Source organism: Homo sapiens, chromosome 10 (genome assembly GCF_000001405.40).
Source record: "Homo sapiens chromosome 10, GRCh38.p14 Primary Assembly".
NCBI lineage: Eukaryota > Metazoa > Chordata > Mammalia > Primates > Hominidae > Homo > Homo sapiens.
This window is the reverse complement of record NC_000010.11, coordinates 103614261-103633422: the sequence shown is the minus strand read 5'-3', so window position 1 is coordinate 103633422 and position 19162 is coordinate 103614261. Positions and strand designations below refer to the sequence as shown.

Sequence of the window (19162 nt, the reverse complement as noted above, 5' to 3'; positions counted from 1 at the left end):
TGTTTTTCAGACAGAGTCTCACTCTGTCACCCAGGCTGGAGTGCAATGGCATGGTCTTGGCTCACTGCAACCTCCGGCTCCCGGGCTCAAGTGATTCTCATGCCTCAGCCTCCCCAGTAGCTGGGATTACAGGCATGGGCCACTACACCTGGCTAATTTTTGTATTTTTAGTAGAGACAGGGTTTCACTGTGTTGGCCAGGCTGGTCTCAAATTCCTGGCCTCAAGCAATCCGTCTGCCTGGATCCCAAAGTGCTGGGATTACAGGCTTGAGCCACTGCACCCAGCTGGGGCTGAGACTTTTATCCTCACCAGCCTGGGCTTGCCATGTCATCTCTAGCATGTGCAGAGTGGGGCTGTGTGGCTTCAGGTCTCAGGTCCTTCCTGTGTCAGACTCTGTTTTTGTTTTTTGGTTTTTTTTGGCCGGGGGGAGGTTTGTTCTTTTTGTTTCTGAGACAGAGTCTCGCTCTGTCGCCAGGCTGGAGTGCAGTGGCATGATCTCAGCTCACCGCAACCTCTACCTCCAGGTTCAAGCGATTCTCCTGCCTCAGCCTCTCGAGTTACTTGGGACTACAGGCACACATCACCATGCCCAGCTAATTTTTGTATTTTTAGTAGAGACGGGGTTTCACCATGTTGGCTGGGCTGGTCTCGATCTCTTGACCTTGTGATCTGCCCACCTTGGCCTCCCAAAGTGTTGGGATTACAGGTGTGAGCCACCGCGCCCGGCCCAGGCTCTGTTGATGCCAGGGGAGATGACAGCTGCAGAGAAGAGCCTGCCACTACCTTGGCTATGGGCACTCCACTGAGCAAAGATAGACAGGCTCAAATACCACCTAGGTGGGCACAGGTTAACATGAGCAGAGGCGCCCACCCCGACTCTATGCAGACCTCCAGGAACCCTGGCGTGAGTCACACTGTTGGGCCTCTTGGAAAGATTCCCTGCGCTGACCCCACCCATGGCTGCTGACAGGCCTCTGCCAGGTGCCAGCAGCTCAGACGTCAATTGTGGCAACCAGGGCTCCTGACCAAAGTCACTGGTGCACCACTGAGGAGCAAGCAAAACCTGAACCCCTGGATGTGGCTCAGCTCCCCAGAAGGGCTCAGGCATCAGCTAGTGAGCCCCGTGGGGCTTCCAGGCTCCCCTCCAATGCATGCAGAGGCACCGTTTTCTTTCCCACAGGATCTGAGAGTGCAGTGGTAGAGAGGAAGTGTGCTGGGGGAGGTGTGGACAAGGGTATGTGGTTGGTTTTTTTTTTAGGTGGGGTCTCGCTCTGTCACCTAGACTGGAGTGCAGTGGTATGATCACGGCTCACTGCAGCCTCAACCTCCCGTGCCCAAGCCATCCTCTCACCTCAGGCTCATAAGTAGCAGGGACCACAGACACATACCACCACCTAGGGTGGTTAGCGTGGGAAGTGTCAGGATGAGACATGGGAACCAGAACCGTGCGCTATTAACATTTTTTTTTAAGAGATGGGATCTCACTATGCTGCCCAGGCTGGTCTGGAACTCCTGGGCTCAAGCAGTCCTCCCACCTTGACCTCCCAAAGTGCTGGGATTACAGGCATGAGCCACCCCCACCTGACCGCTACTGACATTAGAACCTGCACCTGCGAAGCCATGTGAGAGCCTCAGCTTTCAAGAGCCTCCTGTAAGTGACTCCAAGTTGGGAATTGTGGTGACAGCTCTTTGGGATTCTTGGGGGTTACATCCTGGTAAGCAGAAATTTGGGGAGTGACCACATGCCCAGAATGGCTTGGTGGGCTCCGTCCTTCCCTCCTGAGGTCTGTGGCAGCAGGTGCCTGGTTGACTTTTGTTCCTCAGATTTGGCTCACGATGGGGGACCTTCAATCATGATCCTTAGTGATTGTTAGGGGTGGCATCAGCAAGGACTGTCTCTGTTCAAATGATTGAAACCCAGCTCCAGATACAGTAGTCCCCCCAACCATCTGCAGTTTTGCTTTCTATGGTTTCAGCTACCTGAGGTTAACCGTGGTCCGAAAATATTACAGTATTTTGAGAGAGAAAAACCACATTCACATAACTTTTATTACAGCATATTGTTATAATTGTTCTATTTTATTAATTATTGTTAATCTCCTGTGCCTAACTTGTAAATTTCTATTTATTATTAAATTTATAAATTATTTATTTATTTAGAGGCAGTCTTGCCCTGTCACCGAGGCTCCAGTGCAGTGGCACAATCATAGCTCACTGCAGCCTTAAACTCCTGGGCTCGACTGATCCTCCCACCTCAGCCTCCCAAGTAGATAGGACTACAGGTGTGTGCTACTACACACGGCTAATTTTAAAATTTTTGGTAGAGATAGGGTCTCACTTTGTTGCCTAGGCTGGTCTTGAACTCCTGGCCTTAAATGTATAAGTTAAACTTCTTCATAGGCATGTATGTATAGGAAAAAAATGTATATATAAGGGCTTGGTACCATCTGCAGTTTCAGGCATCCACTGGGGGTCTCGGAATGTATACCATGTGGATAAGGGGGATTACCGTAAGGTAAACGGTGCAGGAAGTTCGTTAACTCATTGCAGCTAGGAAGTCTAATGGGATGGCTTAGCTTTAGCACATCTGGAACCAGGAGCCCAAATGATGGAAATCAGGACTGAGTCACTTTCCATCTCCTTTTTATCTTTTTCCTTTTTTTTTTTTTTTTTTTTAAGAGAAGGGAGTAGGGGTCTTGCTATGTTGTCCAGGCTGAACTGGCCTCAAGTGACCCACCTTAGCCTCCCAAGCAGCTGACATTACAGGCACAAGCCAGCGCTTCTGGCTCTCTATCTCTTGACTCTGCTGCTGCTTTATTGACTTAATTCTCAGGCTTCTCACCCCATATGCCCCCTGCAATTCCTGAGTTTTGTGGGACTCAGGTTTTAGATCATCAAAGCACCCACGTTTGCTCCTAAAAAAGCCCCTGAGTGGCTTTGCTTGGAACCATCAACAGTGTCCAGAGAGATGACAGACTAATCAGGAGATGAGTGGCCAGATGTGCCCACATCTGTGGTAAAGGAGGCAGGGTCACATGACATGCAGCCCAGGGAGACAGGAAAGCCCTGCTCTGTGACCTCCAGCCAGCATCTGTGGGAGAACAGCTGGGACTGGTGCTTCCTGGCAGAGGCTGCTGGGGTTCCTGAGAGTACTCCCCCAGAAGCTCAAGAAGGGGGAAAAACATCCCAGGCAGAGCCCCTTGCAAAGTCCATGCCCTCTGGCTGTTTTGGGGCCTCCATCAGCCACAGCTTCTGAGCAACCAAACCATGGTGGCCTGGGCATCAGGGAGGATGGTGGTGCTGCTCCAGGCAGCCCTCTCAGTGCTCCATGCTGGGTTCAGAATGTGCAAGTGGCTGTGGGCAAGATGAGGGTGACCCCCAGCCACCTTCAGGCAAAAGGCAGGGGAATTGACATGCAAGCCTCAGTAATATTTTCCCAACCTGAATCAGGCAGAGGGAACGAAGGCAGGTATCCACTCCAGGCCCAGGGCAATGAGGCAGCTGAAATGCTCCCTGCATCCATTGCTGCTCCTCCCCTCCTCTCCCCAGGGGGACAGGCCTAGGCCCTTTGCCTCTGCTGGATGTCTCTGTAAAGGGTAGACAGGGAAAGGTTGTTGGGCATTCTCATGGAGACAGAGCCCTGGGACTCCTTGACTAGCTAGTGAAGGTTGGGCTTTTCCTGGGTCAAGGGAAGTAGACAGTGAAACCCCTTCCACCATGTCAACAAATGGGTCCTACTGGCTTTCCTCCCAATAGCCGAATGTGGAAGGAATGGCGCCTCTTGTTTATCCAAATGTCAGAACAGCCAAGGTGCAAGTAGAGGTCAGGTGGGGGCTCCCTAGGGGCCAAAGTCCACCTCCTCCAGCCTGACCTTGGCCCCAGTGTGGGCATCCCTTGCCCACTGTAGCTAGCTCTCAAGGGTACTGCATGCCCCAAGCATGGTCTGGACCCTTCCTGAGTTCCCATAATTACAAGCCACCTGGAAGCAGTCTCATCACCCAGAAGTTGAGTGAGTACAGATATCTGGTGCTCTAATAACCACTGAGCCCCAGAGGCCAGGGAAATGATGATAAATTTTAGTGGTGTGTCCAGAAGTCTCTGACCTGCCAGCGGCTGCTGCCCAGTCCCCAACTAGTGGGTTCCAGCACCTGCCTGTCACCACGAGCTGCTCAGTGACTTCAGCTATTCGCTCCTAAGAGGTACCTACCTTTTTCTGTGATCCAGAGAACTATCCAGCCTGCCGATGATGCCCACCTGCCCTCTTCCAGCCTCAGACCAATGTCCCCAGCGTAGGAGGTCTCAGGGGTAGAGAGTTTACCTGAGAATTGGTGTGGGTTTCTCACCCTGGAGATTGCCTGCCTATCCTGGTCCCACACAGGCAGCAGAGTGTAGGGGTTAGAGGCCAGCCTGCTTAGGCTCCAATCAAGGCTCTGCAGCCCCTCAGTGCCACAGTGTCTCATTCACCTATGTACGTGTTTATGAAATAAACGTGGCAGTAAGTGGCCCGGGCACGGACAGTCTGAGAAGTGGGCAATCTGGGAGACACAGGGTTTGGAGCAAGAGCAGGAGGTACAGGAATTGGACCAGTGGCATTGCTTCACCAGCAGTGGGGGCATATCCCCAGTTCTTCCTGACTCTGATGGCTTGTGACTCACTGGCCCAGGCTTCCTTTTTTCAGGTGTGTATGGGTTGTGTCATAAGAGAAGGTTGTGGTCTCCAGGGTTGGCAGAGCCTAGGGGAGGGAGATGGGCACAGGGAGCAAGAGGGCCTGACCGGGGGTTCTCCGGAAGTGATCCTGTTACCTCTCTTCTCTCACCCCAGGCAGAGAGGGACAGAATCTGTGGGCTGTCCAGGCAGCCCACAGGGCCCTGGATCATGGTGCTTGAGCCAGTAGCTCAGAGGTAACCCCTCTCCAGATAGGAGGACACCGAGACCGTAAAAGGGCAGTGACCCAACTGAGGCCCCTGAGCCACATAGGCCTGGACCTCAAGAGTCCAGACTCCTGGTCCAGGGCATTTCATGGGCTTTGCAGAGCTGCAAGCAGAGGGTTGTGGAACTCCCCAGAAAGGGTAGGAGACAGAGGGCATTCAGGACTAGACTGCTGGCTGTTTGCAAGCCCAGACCTGTCATGTGGGGCGGTGGGGACCTAGTTGAAGACCTGGGAGATGAGCTGGGGTTCTAAGTCCTTGAGGTCTTCCCGCGACTGTGCAGTGGTACCTGGCGGTTTTCCCCTCCTCTCCGTTGTTTTCACAGCAGCCATCACAGAGCCTTCTCTACCTCCCAGTGCTGAGCCCACCTGGAGGCACCCGAGAGCCTCCTCCCACCAACGTGCCTTCTAGATCCTTGGGCGGCCACTTGCCGCGGTGGATGGTGACGGGGCCTCCAGTGCTGCCCGGGGAGAAGCCTTGAGCTCTCCAGACAGGAAATGGAGAACTGGGCCATGAGCAGAAAAGAGAATCAGTACCAAATCACTTTTGGGGGCAAAGAAGTGTCAGGGAAGAAGGGATGAGGAGGAAGACAGGACCGTGTGAAGAGGACCTTCTCGGAAGGGACCAAAGGCAGTTAGTGGAGTCCCAAGACCTGGGTGCTCAGAGGACTTTGCATGAATGAACAAATAAGATGAATGAGGCTTTATCACGTGGCCATGATCGTCAAGCATCAGCTGAGGATGCAGTGCCCACTTACCGCGACTGAAACGTGAACACACTTAAAGGGCAGCTGTGAGTGGCACCAATGCGAAGGTACCGCTGACCCGCGATGGGGAAAAGGCAACCGTTGACCGTTAGAGACTGTCTGTGAGGCACTTAGCTTGAAAGCTGAGAAGGCAGCCAAGCTCCAGGCAAACCAGTCATCCTAATGGGTTTCAAAGACCATAAATGGTCTCTCTGTATGGCCGGAGCTCCCTTGGCCTTTCCTGCAAGATGAATTTTCACACACTGGACATATCACTATGTCTATTTCATTTTCCATCAGACATTTGTTAGTGTGGCTCACAGTTTATTGGTCCCACTTCTCGGGAAGTGTGCTGGTCGTTTCTGCCTTAGAACAGACGCAGGCTCCTCGAGGCTGGAGCTGGGCCAGGCATTTGCTGGGTCCCCAGGCCATCTGGCTCCATGCTCCGCTTCTTGTGCCTCTCCTTCCATCCTTGTCCTGGCCCCCGAGCCACCCCTGCCACCCTGCAGAATCTCACAGTCCTGTTCTCTCTTGTCCTCCCTGCAGGCTGGTGGTTCGTGAGCACTTCTGAGGAGCAGGGCTGGGTCCCTGCCACCTACCTGGAGGCCCAGAATGGTACTCGGGATGACTCCGACATCAACACCTCTAAGACTGGAGAAGGTGAGGGCTTGCAGGTCCAAGGGGCAGGGAGCAACGCGGCCTCTGGAGGCAGCTCTCTCACTCTTTCCCTAGAACCAACAGAACCCCTAAAGTGAGCTGAGCCATATCCTAGCCTCCTCCCTTGGGATCCCATCTCAGTAAGGTTGGCCCAAAAGCTCACCTCCCACCCCAGTCCGACCCCTGCTGCTCTGTCTCAGGGGCTCAGGAACTGAGGGATGGCTCAGACCCCTACACAGTCAGCCTCTCTGATTAGCTTTGGCTTCATGAGGTTTGTTTTTCCACCCACCCCCCTTTTTCTTATTTTTTTTTATTTTTGTATTTTTTTCTAGAGACAGGCTTTCACCATGTTGGCCAGGCTGGTCTCAAACTCCTGGGCTCAAGCGATCCACATGCCTTGGCCTCCCAAAGTGCTGGAATTACAGGTGTGGGCCACCGCACCCAGCCCTTCCTTTTTTTTTTTTTCTTTTTCTTTTTTTTTTTTTAATTCCAAACACTTAAAAACTACTCAGTGAGGTTTTTCAGGGTCTTTCTCCTTGCATTTCAAAGAGTCTGCCCCTGCCCTCTAAGCCAGCACTGGCCTGGGCCTATCTGTGGCTTCTGTACTCCCTAGAGCAGGCTGCCTGAGCCCAGTCCGTTTGCGCCACCCCCAGTTCTTGGCTGCCTGCTCCTAATGGCTTCCAAGCCTCCCATGGCCTGGCTGCGGGAATTCTTTCCCTAACGGTTGGTGGGGATGGTCCAGATGGATGTCTGAAAGCCAGAGGGATTGAGGCCACCACCCGGTGCTCGGGCCACCTCCAGGCCTGCTTTCTGCTGCCAGGCCAAAGTAAGCAGCCGCCAAGTGCCAGCTCCTTATTCATTCTTCCCCTAAATGTCGGTTACTCGGCGGGCAGCTGGGGCTTCGCCCTTCCTCCTATGTCGAGGCTTTACTTCAGCCCCTTGACCAGAGCCTCGGCCCCTGCCATGTGCTTCCACTGTGTGACAGGTTTCCAGGGACAAGGCCCCATTGGGAAGGGCCCGCATGTTCAGGCTGGGCTGCTCCCTGAGCCCTGGGGCTGAGCCTGCACCTGTCTTCCCTCTGGTTCCATTGCACCTCTGCAGCAGGGGAGAGTCTTGGCCCCTGAGCTAGGTCTGGTCTCATATGCCTGCAGTCCCCAGCCTCACCTCCTACCTAGTTCCACATTCTTTTTGTTGTTGTTGTTGAAACAGAGTCTTGCTCTGTCTCCTAGGCTGAAGTGCAGTGGCACAATGTCAGCTCACTGCAACCTCTGCCACCTGGGCTCAAGCAATTCTCATGTCTCAGCCTCCTGAGTAGCTGGGATTACAGGCACCTACCACTACGCCTGGCTAATTTTTGTTTTTAGTAGAGACGGGGTCTCGCCATGTTGGTCAGGCTGGTCTTGAACTCCTGGCCCCAAGCAATCTGCCACCTCAGCCTCCCAAAGTGCTGGGATTACAGGCATGAGCCACAGTGCCCAGCCCCTAGTTCCACATTCTATAGGGCATGCCAGGGCCTCTCAAAAACAGCAGGAGCTCACAAAGTACCAGATGCTAGACCAGGTCCTGAAATGCCCTTGCCCCCACCCTGGGAGGACCCTGTGGCTATGGCCATCCCCATCCTTCCAGCTGTGGCAACTGAGGCTTCAAGATGTTTATCAGGTTTGGACCCTAGTCCACCTCCTTTGTCCCTTGGTCCTTTCTGCTGTGCCACACACCTCTCTGTGAAGCATTTTGCTCGTAAGCAGTACAGGCAGCTCTAGGGCAGTGCGTGTATGAATCAGAGCCCCAGTTGAAAAGGCTGCACCAGGAAGGTCAGAGCGGAGCTGTTGGGTCGATTATGGAGGACCTAGGCACTGAGTGGGGAGAAGGCCAGGGCAGGAAAGCGCACGAGAGGTGTGGAGCACAGATGCCAGCCTGGTTGGAACAGAAGGCAGGTGCTTTGCGCACAGAACAAGTAGTAGTGGGTTGGGCAGGATTTTGACCTTGATGGAGGAAGAATCAGGCAGCCAGTGCAGATTCTGCGTTCAGAGGCGGTGTGGGTGTATGTGTGTGGGGGGTGGGTGTGGGTGTGTGTGCGCGTGCATGCGTGCCCAGGGCGATTCTCCTAAAATAGGTTCCTGCGCACGCCTCTGACAGGGCCTGTGTGCCAATTCTCCTGGCAACTTCTGGATAGCTGTGGATTCCACCGTCACATCTTGGGCATTTCCCACCCAGATCTACAGAAGGGCTCAGGGATGGGTCCCCTGGGCCTAAGGCCCCAGCTGCTGTGGTGTGTCCGCTAGTCTCTCTGCACCTGCAGCCACATGGCCAAGAGATTGGCCGACACTAGTTCCCTCTCCAGCCATCTCTACCCCAGCGCTATGGCCATCCCATCATAGGTGCCCTGAGCCCTGTAGACAGAAATTGGAAGCCTGCATCCTATCAAAGCTTTCCTAATAGCTCATCTTCATTACTTTAGGAAGAAAAGATGATTGGCTGTTCTGGTGTGTCCTTATCATGAGACACTTTGATGTATGTTCATGCTGCTCTTGAACCCAGGTGTGCTGTGGGAGTTCAGTATGGTAGGAAGGGTGGGAGTTGAGACTTCCTTGTCCACTGACAGAGGTGCGGGTCCAAGCCTGACATTCGCAGGGTGCTTCAGTGAACCAGGAGAGGTGTGTTACCTCTGTCAAGCCCTCGGGTTCATTTGTGATAGAGCCAAGACCAGAACCCAAGTCTCTGCCTTTGCTCCTGTGTCCCACATCTACCAGTATGGACCTGCTTCCTCCAGAGTGGGCGCATATTGGGACATGCGGAACAGACCACGGTCTTCTGTGCTGCTGTACCAAAGGCGTGTACCCCATTAGTGAGCAGATCCCCCAGCACCCAGACCCTGTTCCCTCCCCACATCCCCTTCTTCCCAGGGCTTGGCAGCCCAAGGGGCAGCAGAGTTAGGGGAACAGCAATAGCTCGGGGTGCAGAGTCTGTGCTAAGAGTCTAGGCTTTGGAGCCAGACTGCCTGGATTCACATGCTGCCTGACACAGAGTGTTCTTTAAAGCCCTGTGCCTCTGTCTCCCCATTTGTAAGATGCCAACCACATAGGGCTTTTGTGAGGCCCAAGTGAGATGATCTTTGTACATGGTTTAAACTGGGCCTCGCACACAGAGTAAATGCCGACATCAACACCTTACTGTGAAAGCTGCCTCTGGTCTGGCCATGAGCTGAACCCCTTCATCTCTGCAGAGAAGCCCTACACACCTCCCCCACCTCTCCCTGCCCCACCAGGAGGCCTTGCACAGGACCTGATTCATGTTTCCCAGAGCCCATTCAGCCCCTTGTCTAGGCTCATGCCAGGGCAGGTGGTGTCACTGTAAGACAGATGAGGAAAGAGAGGCTTAGAGATGGGTGGCTGGCCTCCTAGAGTGACACAGGTTGCTGGCAGTGGGGCCTGGACTGGAGTCCACACCTCCTACCCTTTTGTCCTTATAAGAAGCAGGTCAGACAGGTCCCTCTTCTTCCAGGAAAGCAAATGCTTTCCCAGGGCCTCGGTGGTCTGGGACGGTTTTATTTTCACTCCAGCCACTGGCCCCTCTCCCACCCCCAGACCCGGGCAGCCTGGCACCTTCTTTCTGTGGTGGCAGGAAGTGAGGCCAGCTGGCACCCTGGAGCCCTGGTCCAGTATCCATTCCATCTGGGAGTCTCACAGGAAGACAGAGGCATCTGGAGCTGGGGTCTGAGCAGAGGGTGCAGGGGGCTCAGAGCCAAGCAGCAGCCACCAGAGGAGCAGTGCAGGATGCTGCTCAGGGCACGGGGTCAGGAGCAGTGAGAAGCTGGGGAGGGGGCCCCTGTCATCAGATGTCCCGATGGGTGGCCTGAGAGGAGGAGCAGAGCCAGGGCCTCTGGCACCCACCCTTGTGTCATTCCGTTCAGCAGGTGCTTCCTGGGACCCAGCTGTGTGCCCGGCCCTGTGCTAGGCCCTGGGAATGCAGAGACACAGGGAAGGGTTCCCAGAATGGCGAGAGCTCTCAGCCCCGCAAGGAAGGGATCCAAGTCTCTCTTGGGCACACTGATTCTTCCAAGCATGGTGCCTGTCCAAGGTAGCACGTTCACAGTCAGTACTCAGTGAGCGAGTGGACATAAGCTCAGATGTTGCAGGACCCCACACCCTCCTGGGAATCAGCACCGCCCAGCAGTGAGGGACACTGATCTCACCATCCCTGGAGGCTGTAGCTGAGGGGCTGTCTTGCACTGGGCTGGAGCTAGGGACCCTCTTTTCTCTAAGGTGCTGGGATTCTAAAGGCTTTAGCCCACTCCTAGGCTCAGGGGCACACGCTGTGGAGTTTGGTTGAATTTTTCCCTGTGTGCCGACCATGACCTGTCATATCTGCCCCATCCAACAGGGGCGTGCCCTTTGGTTCAGTCCAGGTGATGGTGACTGGAAGTGTGGGCCTCCCCTCCCTGTGCCCCTTCCTCCCACCCCCATCCCATCTCATCCTCATCTCCATTCTCTCCGCCGGTTGCTGTTGGCCGCATGCTCCATCGCCATCTCCCACACCAGTGTCCAAGAGACGCAAGGCCCATCTGCGGCGCCTGGATCGCCGGTGGACCCTGGGCGGGATGGTCAACAGGCAGCACAGCCGAGGTGACTGCGGGAGCTGGCTTCTCCTCCCTCGCAGCGACCGCCTGTCTCTCGCTAACACTGCTCTTTCTTTCCGGGCTCTGCTCTCTGCCCTGTGGCCTCCTTGTTCACCCAGATTCACGGGCCAGGCTTTCTTCTCACCTACTGCAGCTGGTGTGGGGTGGGCCTGCTTGGGAATCAGGGTGGCACTGGGGGTGGCTCTGGCTTTGTCAACCTCCTGGGTATGAGGGTCATGGAACACAGTTGTGGGTTCCCTGAAAAGGTACAGGGGCTTGAGGAGGGGGACAAGGGGGTTTCGGGTCTTTAAGAAAGGCCACATTGGCCCTGGAAGCTGCAGATTAAAGGAGCTAAGCGTGTCTAGCCCTCTGCTGGGGCCATCCCACTCCCCCATCCTCCATGGCCCCTGTCCTCTGAGAAAATGCTCCCTCGGCCAAAGTTGTTCTATCAGTTTCTTGGGAACAAAGCAGAAAGAAGGACTGGCTCACATTCACGCTCCTCCTGCCAGCTCCACGGAAACTAGAAAGGGAGCAAAGCCAGACCCAGCCTGGCATCAGGGTGCAGCCCAACAGGCTCTGCTGAGGGTCAGGTCCAGCCAGGAGCAGTAACTGCTGGGGCTTCAGGAGGGGCCTGATCCAGGGGAGTCCAGGGAGCCCCCCAGGCCCAGCACATGGGCTGATCAGATGTTTGTGGGTTTAGAGCTTTCTCGCCCAGGATCTTTCTAGCATCCAGGAACCTGGGAGGTAAGGGAGTGGAACAAAGCCCCAGGGCTGGGCTGCTGAACAAACCCTTAAACATCTGCAGTCCCCTGGGCCAGGGCTTGGCCAGCCCCGCATGGAGCAGGGTGTGTGTGCTTCTCACAGTGACGGCACAGAGAGAGGTGTATCATAAACACTGGCCTTTCTGGAAGCGGGGACACCCAGTGACCCCCACCCTCACAGCTTGGTTCTAAATGACTGTAAGAGCATGTTTTGGTGTCTGCCCCAGGCCCAAAGCAGCAGGAAGCCTGGACACAGGTGGCTACAGCCTATGGCTGGCTCAGCATCAGGCACAGAGCACTGGCCATGAGAAGTCCAGCTTGTCCTGAGGGCACAGCCTGGGCTGGACCCTGTGGGCTGACACAGGGCTGGGGGTCAAGTTGTAGAAACAGCAAGAACAGGCTGGACATAGAGCAATGGCCACCCTAAAGCTGGGACGCAGCTCAAGCCTTGGCGGCAAAGGAGAGTGGGACGTAAGTCTGGAAATGCATGGCACGGATGAAGGTTTGGCTCCAAACACCCTTGCACACTGAGCCCCAAACACGACCATCTCCACAACCCCACAGACATGCACAGCCCTCATGGCCACAGATACGACTGTGCGCCCTGTCACATCCAGCCTCCCTGACACCCACATATCCACAGTCCCAGGCACACAGCCACTCACAATACACATACACAATTCCAATTATGCAGCCACGCATACACCGTGCCATGTGTCTTCTGTTTATACCACCACAAATGCATCATACACAGTCACAAAATCATCACACACACACATATACGCAACATACACACATACGCCACCCATTCCTCCACAGCAACACTCACAAGGGCACATACAGCTTCATACACACAACGCCTTGCACCACATATATGCCAGTCACAGACATACAGTGATATGTGGAGACACAAATACGCAATGAAATGCCTAATTCTTGGTCACCCATACCTAAGCAAATATAAGCCCCCAGCTCTTGCTCTCTCTCTCTCTCTCTCTTAAATAAGAGACCTAAACAACATAATGTCCCAGCCTCAGCCTGATGGGCTAAGTTAAACCAGGCAGCCAAGAAAAACTTGCAGAGAGTTGGCTTGGAGACGCTTGCTGCAAACAGCAGAGCTGGTCGGGGAGGCAGGCTGCAGGTTGTGGAGGAGCTAGACAAGAGAAAAGCGGAGCTTCCCCACGGCCTCCGCTCCCCGTTCCCTCAGCCAGCCAGGCCCTTGGAACCAAAAGGCCTCTCTCAGTGGGGTTGGGTAAGTCGTGGGGGCAGGAAGGGAGTGGGGAGACTGCTGACAGAGGGGAAAGTGTTGGGGAAGAGGAGGCTTCTGTGGTTTGGAAACTACAGGACATCCAGCCCCTGCCTCCAAAACCAAAGCAGGCCTATCCCCCTCACCCACCCGGCTGACCGCCTGGCCAGCCCTCCCCAGGGCAGGCTGCCACCGTCTCCTGGTGGCGTGGTCAGTGTTCACGGCCCCAGTGCTTCCCAGAAGCCCGGAGGATCCCACTGGAGCTCACAGCCTCCCTTCCCTCAACCCCATTTCCGACGGGACATCTCTTCCCAAGACCCTGACCACCCTGAATCATGCAGCTGCCCGCTGAGGCCATGTCCGTCTGTCTGGGCCTCCTCTTGTCTGGCGCCCCCAGATGGGGTTTGTGGCCCAGGCAAGTCTCTCTTCCTTGGGACACCTGTGAGTTGGAAGGCCTGAGACCCACAAGGCCTGTGTCCACATGGAAAGTCCATGCCTCTGCCATCTGAGCCAACTGGGTGGAAACCCAGGAGCTGGGACGGCCTGGTCTGCCTGCCTAGCCCTGCCAGGGAGGAGGGCTCTGGGTTCTCATCCCTGCAACCTGTGCAGTGACCGGGGCAGGACGAGCCTCCCATCCAGGAGCTCTCACCAGCAGCACGTGAACTCCTGGACATCTGTGGTTGCTGCAGCCCCAGAGTCCCCAAGAACCTTTTGCAGGAGCAGCTCAACTTTACCGGCCAGAACTGATATCCCTGGTTCTGCCCCCACCCCCAAGAGGTCAGGAGAAAGCCTGAGCTTACATGGCCCACGGGATTCTGTCTTCCACGCACCCCGGGAGGCTGCGAAGGCTGGGGCTGGGCCCTAGTGGCCCAGGAGGCTGAGCCCACATGATGGGCTAGACCTTGTTCTCTGCCATGAAGCAGGGCAGGGCTCCTCTGATCTTCCCACGAGAAGGGCTGTCATTTTTCCCTGCAAATGCAACCTTGCCTAGGAAAACCTTAATGATGGCTTCCTGCTCGAACCACAGACTTTTAAAAATAGCCCAGCTGAACAAAGGCAAAATGTGGAGCCCAGGCCTCGCCTCATCCTAACCTCAGAATCCTGGATTCCCGGAGCCTGGCGCTGCCCCTCTGGCCGCCGCTGAGCTGGGATTTGCCATGCCTCACTGGAAAATGGAGCAGAACCAGGAGCAGGCAGGAGAGCAGAGAGAGTTGGACTGTGGAGCCCTGAACTTCTCAAAGGGCCGAGTCAGAATCTGGCTGGGCAGGGTTCTCAGGCCGCCTTGGCAGCAGTCTGAAGCATGGCTGGGTTGGAATCTGAAAGCCTCCAGAGTAAGGCCCTCCCTGAGTCGATGCTGACCAAGTTCTGCAGCAGAGAAGGGCGTACTGAAAAATCCTGCAGGCTCCCATGGGTCATCACCCTCCTTCTGCTTTTGGGCAGCCGTTTGAATTTGGCTAGTAGCCCATCAGTTCTGTCTTCACAGCCTGGCAGGGCAGCCACAACCACCCCCAAAGGGAGCTGCTATCTCGGCTCAGCACAGGGCTGCAGACAGGGCCCCGATAATCCAGGGGAGAGTGGACAGATGGCCCTCCCACAGCTGGGGGTTGGGGTGGCAGCTGCCTCCCACCCCCACGGCCACCAGTCTTAGGCAGGCTGCCCGCCAGCATCCAGCCAAGGAGCCCAGGGGGTGGCTGTCACAGCTGGGAGCCAGGAGGGGTGGGTGTCCCAGAGACCAGAGGCCAGCAGTCTGCTCCAGCATCCCGCTGTTTTGAGCTCACAGCACTTCCCATCGGTACCCTTGCTCAGCCTTGCCTGGTCGTGATGCAGTCAACAGTGTCTCGCTGTCTGCCAGGCACTGTCTCAGCCCCTGGGGAGCACCCACGCCAGAGAGGACAACAGTGGCTCAGGGTGACCCTTCAGAAGGGCATGGCCAGATTGCCACTTCCTCCTCCTGTCTCAGCTCCTGTTGCCCCAGAAGGTGAGGTGGGGAGTGTTCCACTCTGAGCAGCCCTCTACGGAGTGTCTCAGGCAGGAGGCAAGGACTCTTTAGCCAGCCAGCTAGGAGCAGAGCCAGGGAGTACTCAGCTCTGGGGTCTACCTATCAGGGGCTTCCTGGGACAGGGAAAGCTGAACCCCAGCAGGCATGGAAGAAACACCCTCCTGGAAGCCTGATCAAGGACCCAAGCGGGTGGCACCCAGGCCTCCTGCCAGGAGAGAGGCTGAAAGAAACCAGGGGAGGCACCATGGTGCCCCACTCTCCCCACACCTGCCCTCCCAAGCCTTCCTGAGAGTCTACAAGGCACTTCTTTCCCAGCACCTCGGGAGGACCTTGGGCAAGACCCTGAAGTGACATCCTTGAAAACAGAGCAGGCTGCCCTCCAGAGGGGCTAGGCCTCGGCTGCGTGGTTGGCACAGCATGTTCTGCAGAAGCCACTTGGGCCAGTGCTGCCTGATTGTGCTGTGCTTGGTGTTTCCAAGCTCATTTGGCCATCGAACCCTTGTCTTAACAAAACACATGTAACTGCTTCCATGAGACCTGGGTTCCATGGACTCCTCTTGGGAGATTACATGACCAGGTGTTAATGGATGAAGTGGGTGCTCAGGGAAGGCTTCACCGAGGAGGTGTCCCTAGAACCTCTGAAGGTCAGACAGAGGAAGGATGCAAGAGGCTGAGCTGGGGGCAGGGATAGGAGAGTTCATCTGGGACACAGATGGAAACAGGGCACATTTCGAGGAAAAGCGGTATGCCGTGGGGCCTCAAGGCATGCAAGGACACCTCATGAGGGGCCGGCTTCTCCTAATCCTGCCCTCGGCCCAGCAAGCTTCTGAGCCCTGTGGACTCCAAGGTCCCGGCAGCCTGGCCGCCATTATCAGGCTGGGAGAGCCGACTCCCTGCTCCCAGGGCCTTGCCTGACAACCTGGGTCCTGGCTGGCTTTGGCACACACTGGGAGCAGCAGTGACCTCTGCTCCCATGGTCTCCCTGCTGCCACCTCTGGGGCCTGGTCCTTCCCTCCCCTGGAGAAGCCAGAGCCAACCCAGTGGACCTTCTTGGCAAGCAGTTGAGCAAAAGCCAGGCCAGGGCAGGAGGAGGGGACAGGAAGCAGGACCTGCACCCCGACCTCAAATAATCTTGCTTGCTTGCTCCCACCCCCAGAGGAGAAGTATGTCACCGTGCAGCCTTACACCAGCCAAAGCAAGGACGAGATTGGCTTTGAGAAGGGCGTCACAGTGGAGGTGATCCGGAAGAATCTGGAAGGCTGGTGGTATATCAGGTAGGGAACCCTTACATTATGAACGAGATGCCTCTCGCCCACCTGGGCCCTGGGCAGAGTGCAAAGTGGCCATGGCCACCTGATGGCAGGTAGATACTGACAGCTTTGTGCCCACGGCACAGGGCTGGGCTGCTGCACCTCTGCACAGCTGAATAGCTCAACCAGAGAATGCTCATCTTGCAAGTTTTCTCCCGGGACGCGTAAAGCAGAGCTTGAGCCACAGCCAGCGGGGCACAGAGGCCCCGGGTCAGCTTGCAGGCTGTGGTGCAATCCCTTCCCACGTATCTGCCAAGAGAGCTCAGCACATCTGAATTTGGTTTTGTGTGTCCGGCCTTGGCTGCCTGGTGTGCTCCACAGCTAGGGCTGCCTGGAGCACTGGCGTCCGCAGGCCTTGCTGAGGTCCCAGCAGGCAACCTCTGCTGCCCAGGCTCAGTACTCAGGGAGGTGGGCTGGGGGCGGGGGCGGGTGCAGGTGCAGGCCTCTTGCAGCCACGTCCCTGGTGGATGGGGACTGGCTGTCCAATCTGCAGGGCTGGCTGCAAGGGCTGGAGCAGAAGTCAGGCCTCGGCTCAGGCCATCGGAGGCTTCTTCCTTCTCTTGCCCCTCCCTCTCCCAGGCCTAATCACAGTTCCCAGCGTAGAATCCTATTGAATGGTATGGGTAGGGAAGTGGGGTCTTTCCTGACCTGCTGGAGGCAAACAATCCCGTGGGTTTCACTCACCATTACCTGGCCAAGACCTACCCTTCCAGGACCCCTGCTCTCAAGAAATGCTCCAGGAGACTTGATCTCAGTAAGTGCTTTTGGTGTCCTTGGAACTGGCTCAGCTGTGATGACTTTGCCCACCTTCTCTCTTCTCTGCCAGTTACCCAGCTGACAGGGATAGTCCTATATCCTTGGGCTCTGGGGACCCCAGATCCACTGTGGGCAGGACATGCATTCTAGGTGGTCTCCGACAGAGGGGACAGGATTGTGCAGTGGCACCAATGTGCCCCAGGGGATGTGAGTACTCGTGGGACAGTTGCTCAGAACATGGTACAACATGATGGCATTAAAGGCTAGTCCATGCTGAGGTCACTGGCCATATGGAGATTGCACCTTAGTCTGACCTGATGGAACATGGCTCCATGGCACGCACCACACCCCCCGCCCCTACCCCGCCCCCACCCCGCCCCACCCCGGAGCCCTGGTGCATATCAGTCAGGAGGGCTGAGATGTCCCTTTCTGTCCCATTGGGTGGGATGGGACTGTGCATCTGGATGTGTATTGTCCAAAGCCAGTGCCCCTAGACTTTTATGTTCTCTGAGCAATGGAAACTAGAGTCAACCCAATCACCCACCAGCCATGAGTTGAACATGGGAAAGCCAGGAAACATTCTGGCAGGCTGGTGGCCTAGCTCACTTGCCTGGAGCTTATCTACAAGGCTGCTTTATTATTATTTTTTTGTTTTCTAAAATGACCAACAAAGTCACTCTGAGCTGCTTCTAGTCCGCTCCTATCCCCATGGCCTAGTCTTACAGCCAGCAGGAGCTTGGACTGAGAAAACCCGGCTGAAAAGATTCCACCTTAAAAAGGCTGCCAGACACCCCCTTAAATATGCCATTTCCCAACATTCCAGGCTCTACGTTGATCCTCATTTCCTGTCTTTCTTCTCCTCCCCCAACCCCTACACACACACACACACACACACACACACACACACACACACACACACACCCTCGCACTCTCCATCGCGCCCTTTCCAGCTTGCTTCCCGCTGGAGTCATTTCATTCTCCATTGCTGGAAAGCAGATGTGAGCAGAGCTGGACCCAGACACACACAGGCACTCCTGATTCCCTTGCGTTTCTCCTCCTGGAATCTTAATTTTACCCATGTAGTGCTGAAGGAACACAAATACAGCACTCGGGGCCCTAAGCAGGCCTGACCGTCACCTCCATGAGCCCCCTCTCCCCATAGCTCTACAGTGTCCATGTAGAAAAATCGTCAGTGAGGGCCAGTGGGCTCATCTTTGTCTTTTCTCTGAGATGCAAGAGCACCAGGCTCTGGGCCAGATGCTGCTAAGCGCTCACTGTGTGACCCCCTTGCTTTTCTGAGCCGTAGTTGTTGGCTCACATAAGATTAGGTATTTTTACTCGTTGCTTCCATCCACCCTTAAAATTCTGTGCTTCTGTTTGCACCCATTGCATCAGGGAGCCAAAGACAGGCCCCTGACTCCCACCCACGTGTTAACTCACCTCTGCCTCCCAATCCCTGGGGAGGCGAGCTTGGCTCAGCCTGCCTGCATGTTTCTGTGACAGAACGTAAGGAGCCACCTCCTACCTGAGCTTTCTCGCAAAGCTCAGACATGTTGATAGGAACTTCAGCTTTCATATTCCTTTTCTCCCACCTAATGAGCGCCCAAGAACAAGGTCAGATCAGGAAGACGGTGGGCGGGGCGGGGGGGGAGGTGTTCAGACATCTGGTGTGGAGGAGCCATTCCAAAGAGCCAGATGTGTCCAGGGAGCAGATGGGGACATTGCAACCCAGACTTGGGGGCACTGGCCAGCGACTACTGGACCAGGAAGTGAAGTCCCCATGGGTTTGGGTGAAAACTCAACACCACGAGGAAAAAAGGAAAAGCTTGTTTTCAGAAGTCATCGAATCACCAGAAATTAAGTCAGCCCTATCATTTGCCTTTTGCCTTTGTTTATGAGCTTTTGGTTTTGTTTCCTTTTGTTTTGTTTTGTTTTTGTTTTGCTTTGGTTTTAGTTTTATCTAGTCATGTGCTTTTGTCTTTTCACTTATGGTTTCTGCTTTTGGAGCCCCACTTAGATTTTCTCAACCCCCAACATTATGTCAATCTTCTATTTGTTAATTCTGCTATATGGTATAAAGCCAGTGTCTGTCTTACTTGTTTTTCCTAACTGGGTCATCAGTTTTCCCCAAATCACTTTTTACA

At 55.3% G+C, this 19162-nt stretch overlaps 1 protein-coding gene across 11 annotated transcripts in view, besides 1 other annotated feature; it reads left to right on the top strand.

The window, feature by feature from the left end:
• Positions 1-19162, top strand: part of SH3PXD2A (SH3 and PX domains 2A) — a 261550-nt gene that overhangs the window by 222154 nt on the left and 20234 nt on the right. For 6 of the 11 annotated variants that reach the window (NM_001394015.1, NM_001394020.1, NM_001394018.1 and 3 more), the window contains 3 exons: positions 6221-6334; positions 10870-10953; positions 16109-16226. In NM_001394015.1, coding sequence (NP_001380944.1) covers positions 6221-6334; positions 10870-10953; positions 16109-16226 — 316 coding nt within the window. The remainder of the gene's footprint in view (positions 1-6220; positions 6335-10869; positions 10954-16108; positions 16227-19162) is intronic. The other 5 variants (NM_014631.3, NM_001394022.1, NM_001394021.1 and 2 more) reach the window with 1 other exon arrangement.
• Positions 11824-12324: an enhancer, noted in NCBI's record as "H3K4me1 hESC enhancer chr10:105380856-105381356 (GRCh37/hg19 assembly coordinates)". NCBI's record gives its function as "activates a minimal SCP1, AML or CMV promoter by ChIP-STARR-seq in primed H9 embryonic stem cells {active_cell/tissue: H9 hESC(primed)}" and the evidence as "EXISTENCE:reporter gene assay evidence [ECO:0000049][PMID:30033119]".